This window comes from Homo sapiens, chromosome 11, assembly GCF_000001405.40.
Source record: "Homo sapiens chromosome 11, GRCh38.p14 Primary Assembly".
Lineage (NCBI taxonomy): Eukaryota > Metazoa > Chordata > Mammalia > Primates > Hominidae > Homo > Homo sapiens.
In genome coordinates, this window is record NC_000011.10 from 45,721,633 (window position 1) to 45,729,275 (window position 7,643).

The 7,643-nt window shown below is 47.9% G+C and overlaps 2 long non-coding RNA genes across 2 annotated transcripts; one reads left to right on the forward strand and one right to left on the reverse strand.

Moving 5' to 3' along the window:
* Window positions 1-675: 675 nt before the first annotated feature.
* Window positions 676-2,923, forward strand: LOC100507384 (uncharacterized). The gene is made up of 3 exons (NR_047569.3): window positions 676-825; window positions 1,846-1,940; window positions 2,530-2,923. It is a non-coding gene; the product is annotated as an uncharacterized LOC100507384 (long non-coding RNA).
* A 489-nt stretch (window positions 2,924-3,412) lies between these two features.
* On the reverse strand, window positions 3,413-7,158 carry LOC124902667 (uncharacterized). The gene is made up of 2 exons (XR_007062663.1): window positions 4,769-7,158; window positions 3,413-3,649 (listed from the first exon to the last, which is right to left on the reverse strand). It is a non-coding gene; the product is annotated as an uncharacterized LOC124902667 (long non-coding RNA).
* Between the last annotated feature and the right edge of the window lie 485 nt (window positions 7,159-7,643).

A 7,643-nucleotide genomic window follows, 5' to 3' on the forward strand; every position in this document is an offset into this window, starting at 1 on the left:
ACCCCATCTCTATGCTCGGACCATCACTAGCTACTCTCAGGAATTGTCTCATGGTCCAGGCTACCCTTTTCACCATCCAAGCCAGCTCTTACCACAACCACTGCCTCATCACCCCACTGCCAGTTAGCCCCCGATTCCTGGACCTTAAGAGTCCCCTGAAGTGACCCCATCCTTTCCCCCAGGTCCCAGAACCTATCCAGACCCCAAGAATGGCCACGGCATTTCACACAGGTTACAAAAGCTGCAATAAGCATTTTTGACTCCAGCCTTCTGCTGCGTGACTCCTCTGTCCCCATTCCCGGCCACCTTTCCCCTCCCTCCTGCCCACTCACTTGCCCACCAACTGTTTAGCAAAGCAAAACCCCCTTTATAAAATGATTCATTCAATATGACACTCTCATTTCTCCTGAAGGGTTCGTTTGTACTTTTAGAGCCCCAAACGCATTCCTTCTTTGGAAATTTCTTTACACCCTTTACTGAGAAGACCCTGGATTTTGAGTGTGAAAAATGGCTGAATCTACTTCGGAAAAGAATAAAACCGTTACCCCAGGATCTCGCAAAGCGAGAATTGACTGGTAACTGCCATCACGCTTCCAAGGCTCATCATTCACTGGGCTACTGACCTGTCAATCACTTCTGCTAGGCCAATGAGCAGCACCCCCTGACACAAACGGAGGTTGGAGGACAGGCCAATCGCTCCCAGCTATTTGAGCCAATGGAGAAGTTCCTGATGCCCACACCTGCTGGTCTCACCGCTAGGGCCTGGGCATCACAGGCAGGGGGAATGGGGAGGGGACGGTAGCGTCAGCCTACACCCACACGCAGGTTAGAGCCTTGGACGGGGAAGCGGAAAAGGCTTAGCAGCTACTAATGGGTTCTATTAATAGTAGTAGTGTTAGGTAGGCTGCACTGGCTGTATTCTGCCCCCATGCCTATCATTCCCTCACTCTGTGACCCTGGGCGAGTCTCTTCCTCATCCTGGTGCTCAGTTGCCTTTTCATAAAGAAAGGGTTGATTCCCCATGATCTGTTGACTCCTTTGCTTTTGGATATTTTGGAAGACGCCCTGCGTCACGGGCTAGTTAATTGTGAACGTCAGGGAAAGCACCAGAGTAGAGAAGCACTTCCAGGATCCAGAGCCAGGAGGATGCTCAAAAGGAAGGGAGGAGAGATGCCCTTCGGCCAAAGGGAGAGCTTGGAGGGTGAGGGGAAGTGGTTGCTTACCAGAAGGGCCTCGGAGTGTGAACTCAAAAGATAGAGGATGGCCGAGCGTGGAGGCTCATGCCTGTAATTTCAGCACTTTGGGAGGCCGAGGCGGGCAGATCACTTGAGGACAGGAGTTCGAGACCAGCCTGGCCAATATGACGAGACCCCATCTCTACTAAAAATACAAAAATTAGTCAGGCGTCATAGCAGGCACCTGTAATCCCAGCTACTTGGCTACTTGGGAGGCTGAGGCATGAGAATCACTTGAACCTGGGAGGTGGAGCTGCAGTGAGCCGAGATTGCACCACTGCACTCCAGCCTGGGCGACACAGTGAGACCCTGTCTTAAAAAAATAATAATAATAGAGGAAGCGTTTTGGTCCACTGTCCACTCACACAGGGTTAGGCGGAGAGGAAAAAGCTACTGAGACTGAAGAATGCCCTTTAACCCCACTTACTGGTTGTTTTGATTCTTTCCTGTAGTTTCCTGATAAAAGGTCCTTTGGAAACTTTGATTCTCTTCTCACCAAGTTGAACGGAGATGTGTTCCCATAGTAAGAGTGAGGCCCCTGCATTTGCTGCCCTCGGTTTTCCCAACTAACACCAGGGCCTCCCCCCTGTACCCCATTCATATGCCTCAGAAGCTGACAATGACTGTTGGGCTTTTCCAATGAATACCAGAACACCATTTCCTGCAGCCTGAAAAGAAGACAGTATAATTGTTTGGCAGCAAGAGGTGAGCATGGGTAAGGAGGGCGGAACTCTTTCACTCATACCCACGCCTCCTCCTCTCTCCTTTCCTTTTCCCCATATTCTTTCTCCCCAGCCCTTCCCTCCTCCCACCTCCTGACTCTAGCCCAGGCCAGCGAAATTTTTTCCACTTTTCACTCCCGCCTGAGAATTTCCGGGGGCCTGAAAGAAGACCTGTTCCCTAGCACTAGTTCATCGTCTGCTCCACTGAGAAATAACCAGCTACCAGAAAGTTTGAGAAATTGATTTGCAGAAAGAGGGCACCAAATCAGTTTAGAGTCAGGGTCTGTAGTCAGTAGAGTTGGCAAATGCCATTTCCCTGACCCACTGGGTATCTGAATACTTGTCATTGGCCCTTGAGAGCTCATCAACTGTGGATGTGCAATAAGCTTGTCCAGGACCAAAAGTGTCTCTTGCTGCTTAAATATCCACCAAAAAGATTCCACTTGTCAAAGCACCTGCCTCCCTGCACTGACTTCTTTTACCTTCTGTCTCTTTTTTCTCACTTTCACACTGTTCTCTTTTTCTCTTTTCCTGTGCCCTTCTCTCTCTCTGGTTTGATTTCTTTTTTCCAGGCCAAGCAGGAAACTAGAGATATGGTGACGGTAGTGGTCCCAGGGAGGAGCTTTAACCTGAGCACCACCCACAGAAGGCAGACCACCCTCCCAGCCGCAGTGCAAATGAATGTTGGCCCCCACCCAGGTCCCCAAGTGCTTTCCCAGTCACGCCCCAGCTGCCAGGTTTTTTTCTCCAGGCCTACTACAGATGGGTTACCCTGACTCCACCCCCAACACCCTCCAATGATTAGAACCACTGACTCCTCCCTCCCATGCCTGCCTCCATGGCAGGCCCCTGCAGAAACCAAACATAGTCACCTTAGACTCTGGCATACTGAGACCAGGGCTTGATCCTGGCCCCCTTGCCTCCCTGGCAATTTATCATTTAATAAAAATATTGTTAAAAAATATTCATGCGTCTAAAATATGTGTATTGTTTCAGAATGTAGCATCAAATTACATCCCAGCTACCCGGGAGGCTGAGGCAGGAGACTCGCTTGAACCCAGGAGGCGGAGGTTGCAGTAAGCTGAGATTGCGCCACTGCACTCCAGCCTGGGCGACAAGAGTGAAACTCCGTCTTAAAATAAAAATTTTAAAAAATTGGTTTCCCTGGGCACAGGACATTGCACCGGATTGGGGAGCATTTCCCCTACTCTGTTAGGACATTATGTAACAAAGACTGAGGGTTCTTGTGTTATTTATAACAAAAGGCCAAAAATAGTTACATTTGAGTTGGTTCATGTAGTGAACTATTGTGTAGCTGTTAAAAGGCATTTGAAGACTTTTTCATGACAGAAGGAAAAAGGCATATTCCAAAACTGTATGTACAGTATGTTCATAATTTTATAAAGTATCTATGTGCATAGGAACTTTGCAGAAAGACACCAAAATCTCCAGAAGTTGGAATTCTGGCTGATTTTTATTTTATCATTTTTTTTTATTTTCCACAATGAACATTATTATCATGAGAATAAAAGAAATCCCATATTATAAAAGTTGTTGGGTCTTCCCTGCTGGAAATGAAGAAGGAATCACAGCTGCTCTGGTGAGGGAGCTGTTAGGTCCAGTGCTCTCTGACACTTGACTGCTTAGGCCAGCGGAGGTGGAAGGCCCAAATGGGAGTCAGATCCTGTAATCCTGCCAACCATCAGGAGGAGACAGATTTAGATCTGGTGGAGGACAAGGCAGTCTGTTCCTCCCTCACCGCCTCCCACTCACTTTTCCTTTCTCTTGCACCTTCTTTGTGCTGTAGTGACAAGCACTCTGCTCTTAAGGGCAGAAGACCTGGGTCCACATCTTGACCCTCACACCCCCTAGATAGGTGGCTGGATGAATTTTTCAGTCCTACCAAACCTTACCCCGTTTACCTATAAGACACAGAGCAGAAGCCTCAGATTGATCATTAGCAGCTCAATCGTACCTAAGGGACTTTGCAATTTTTTTTTAACACACCCACATCTTCTTAACAGCAACTCTTTTCCCTCTTTCTAGAATGTCATGTGGTTAATTCCTTCTTGTCATTTGGGTCTCAGAGTGGCACCTCCTCAAAGAGTTCCTCACTCCCCTCAGTCCCTCTCCATACATTTTTTATTTTTGCTGAGTACTGTTCCCTAACTATTATCTTATACATTTGCTAGCTTGCTTCTTGTCTCCTGGAAATTAAATTCTTTGGGAGCAGGAATCTTGCCTGCCTTGAGCACCACTGTATCTCCATTACCTAAAACACTGTCTGTCACCAATTAAATGAGTCAAGTACTGTGCAATACATTTTCACCATGTTTTCTTATTTAATCTTCCCAAGAACCCCGTGTGGTTTATGTATGAGAGAAAAGTTAAGAACAGAGAGGTGAAGTACAATGAGTAAGTGACAAAGCCAGAATTAGCACTAATTCTGTAACACTTTCCACTTTGCTACCCCTCCCTCCCATGCAGCCAGCATGAAGCCTGTTTTGGAGAGAGGGCTGGGACGGTTCAAGGGCAGGGAACATGAAGAGCCAAATTTCTGAGTCTGGAAAGTTCAAAATAGGAAAAAGACAGAATTGGGTTATGGTCATGGGAAATAGGGGGAGCAAAGGCTGGAAAGAGCTGGAGAAGCTTGCTTGGAGTTTAGGATCTTGAGACCATTTTATAAGTATCTGAGTGACACATCCTCCCTTTCATTTATTCCATAAGTAGACATTGAACACTTCCTGTGGGTTTTAAGTGGTTCAGAACTTCCCTGGAAGGGGCAGCCCCTGTCCTTAAGTAAACACCTACTGTGTGCTCCATGTGGCTCAGGACACATCTAGGCTGGGAGATCGTTGTCCTTGTCCTGCCGGTGCCCGGGGTACTGCCTCGAGCCAACTGGGTGTCTGCTTAGTAGGGGTTACCTGCCCTGAGCAGAGACAGATGGGAGATTTCAGTCATCATTAAGGCTTATTGACCAGCAAGGCTGGAATTTCCCAGAGAGAGGAAGTAATCTCTCTGCTGACTGAGAGCAGACATCCTGCTGGGAGTAGTTACATAAATTCTGTTGCTCAAATTAATTAGGATTGTGATTCATTTGTTTAATGAGGAAGAATCTGATGATGGCAAGAGTCAAGCCAGCCTGGCCTTTCAGAGCCCAGCCAATCCCAGGTGACACTGTGGCAGGTGGGAGGATCCGGTGGCTGGAGCAGGGCTCTGCCATGGGCAGAAGAACCTAGCCAATCAGTAAAAGGAACAAACTGAGGCAGGCAAAGACAGCCAATCAGAATTCAGTGCTAGTTTAGAAGGGGATCCGAGGCTTTGGAGTCTCCTGAAGCTCATGTCTGTGTAGTCTCTCAGCCAAGCATGGAAGGATCTCTCAGCTTCATCCAGAGTCTTACACCCTCCTCTTTTTCCAAGCTGTGGAGAAAAATTTCTGACCTGAGATCACCTCAGCAGCACTCCCAGGACCCATCCAGCCATTTCCCCCATCCCCAAAATTTGCAGGAGGAAGGGTTATTTCAATAAAGCAAAAACCTGTTGCCTGAAGCATATAAAAAGATTCTTCTCTTTCTCCTACCTCTACTTACAAAGTGACCCCTCCCTTCTACTCAGAATGTCCCTACTGCCTATTCAAGGTAAGCCCCAAATCCCACCAGCATCACCTTCATTCTACCTGTGAGGCCCCTGCTGGCCTGGGTCTCAGCTTCCTTAAGACCTGGGTCTCAGCTGCGGTAATACCGGTGAGAGACAGGATGGTTGCTGGATGAGGGTAGCCACAGTGGGGAGGGAGAGATGCAGAAACTCCACACAACTCCGGGGGTCATGATTCATATTATAGTGTATGTGATGGTGCCCTTTGGGATAGAACAGAAAAGGTGCTTCCTGAAGGTGTGTTTCCTGGTGGCCCTGAAGAAAAGGGGCCAGAGTCAGCAAATGTTTGGAAAGGCAGAAGGATTTGGTGATGGACTACATGTTGGGGAAGAAAAAAGGAGAATAATGCAAATTTTGGGACTTATGAATTCACAGCAACATCTACAGAAACCCCCACGGAGCCTTGTTTTCTTTCAAGGCTCACCCACCTCTTACTGTGACAGACCAGACTGGTGTGACCTGGATAAATCATGAGTTGGGCACAACAGGACCTGTAATGAAGCAGGAGTATTGTCAAGGGTGGGTGCTGGGCTGCCCCAAGGGCTTCGTCTTCTCTGCATACCAGGCCGAGAAGCTTCACCTGGAGCCTGGTCAGTTGTGCCTCAGTTAGAGAATGTGTAGCCACAAAGGGCCACTGGTCTGGGAACCAAAAGTACAAAATGGAGTGAGCTAGGACAGATCTTGTCAGCTCTCTGGGCCTTACTTGCCTCGTCCTTGAAAGGTGCCTATTGTCTGCCCTGAGGAGAATAGATCTTCTGCTCTTGCTCCCTATAGACTGTCGCCCATCAGCTGCTAGAGAGATCTTTTGTAAATTTAAGTCAGACCTTGTTATTTCCTATATTTTAAATCCCTCTAAAGCCTTTTCAACACATTCAGAATTTCTAAAAAAAACAAAAAAGAGAAACTAATCCTTGGCAAAGGAGGCCCATGTGATCTAGCCCCTGCCTGCCTTTCAGTCACCCTCCTCTGCAGCTCCCATCCCTCACCCCACTCTGCCCATGCCAGCGCTCCTTCTGATCCTTGAATCCAAGCCCATTCAAATCATAAGGCCTTTGCACTGACTGGTCTCTGTCCCTGGGGCATCTTTCCCCAGCTCTTTACATGGGTGGAAATTCAATTCTGCTTAAATGTCACCTTCTTGGACAGACTTTCCCCAACTAATCTAAAGTAGCCCAGGCTCCATCCATTACCCTGTCTAATTTTTCATTGTAACATTTTTTACTACCCTTCTTTTATTGGTTTGTTGTCTACCTTCCTCACCTGGAATTTAAGGTCCACGAGCCCGAGGGCTTTCCCCATGGCATCAGTCAGGGTCCAGCCAGGAGAACAGGAACTGCACTACATATTTCAGAGGTGTCATTTAATAAAAGAAGTTACTTTCAATAAAACATATTAGAGGGAGAGGAAAAATCTAAACACGAACACTGAAGTAAGACAGAGGTAATAACCACAAGAAGTAGTGTGTGTTGTCAGAATCTATGTACTGGGGCCGGGCACAGTGGCTCACACCTGTAATCCCAGCACTTTAGGAGGCTGAGGCGGGAGGATTGCTTGAGGTCAGGAGTTCAAGACCAGCCTAACCAACATGGTAAAAACCCATCTCTACTAAAAATACAAAAATTAGCTGAGTGTGGTGGTGGGTGCCTATAATCCCAGCTACTCGGGAGGCTGAGGCAGGAGACTCACTTTAACCCAGAGGCAGAGGTTGCAGTGAGCCAAGATTGTGCCACTGCACTCCAGCCTGGGCAACAGAGACTCCATCTCAAAAACAAACAAACAAGCAAAAAAGAATCTATGTGCTGTGAGGAAGAACCCACAGAGGTAGGAGCCAGTCCTCCAAGGGGGCACCACCCAGCTGCCACTCACCTCTAAGGTGGCATAGGGAGGCTGGTTCTGGGAGCGTTGAAAGGAGCTAGAAACTAGAGCCAGCTTCTGCCACGAGGAAGAAGGGCCATTGCTGGGGCAACCCTGGCAAGCATAGAGGAAGCATAAAGGAAAGATCAGTTTCCTGCTTCCTCTGCCTGCCTTCCAG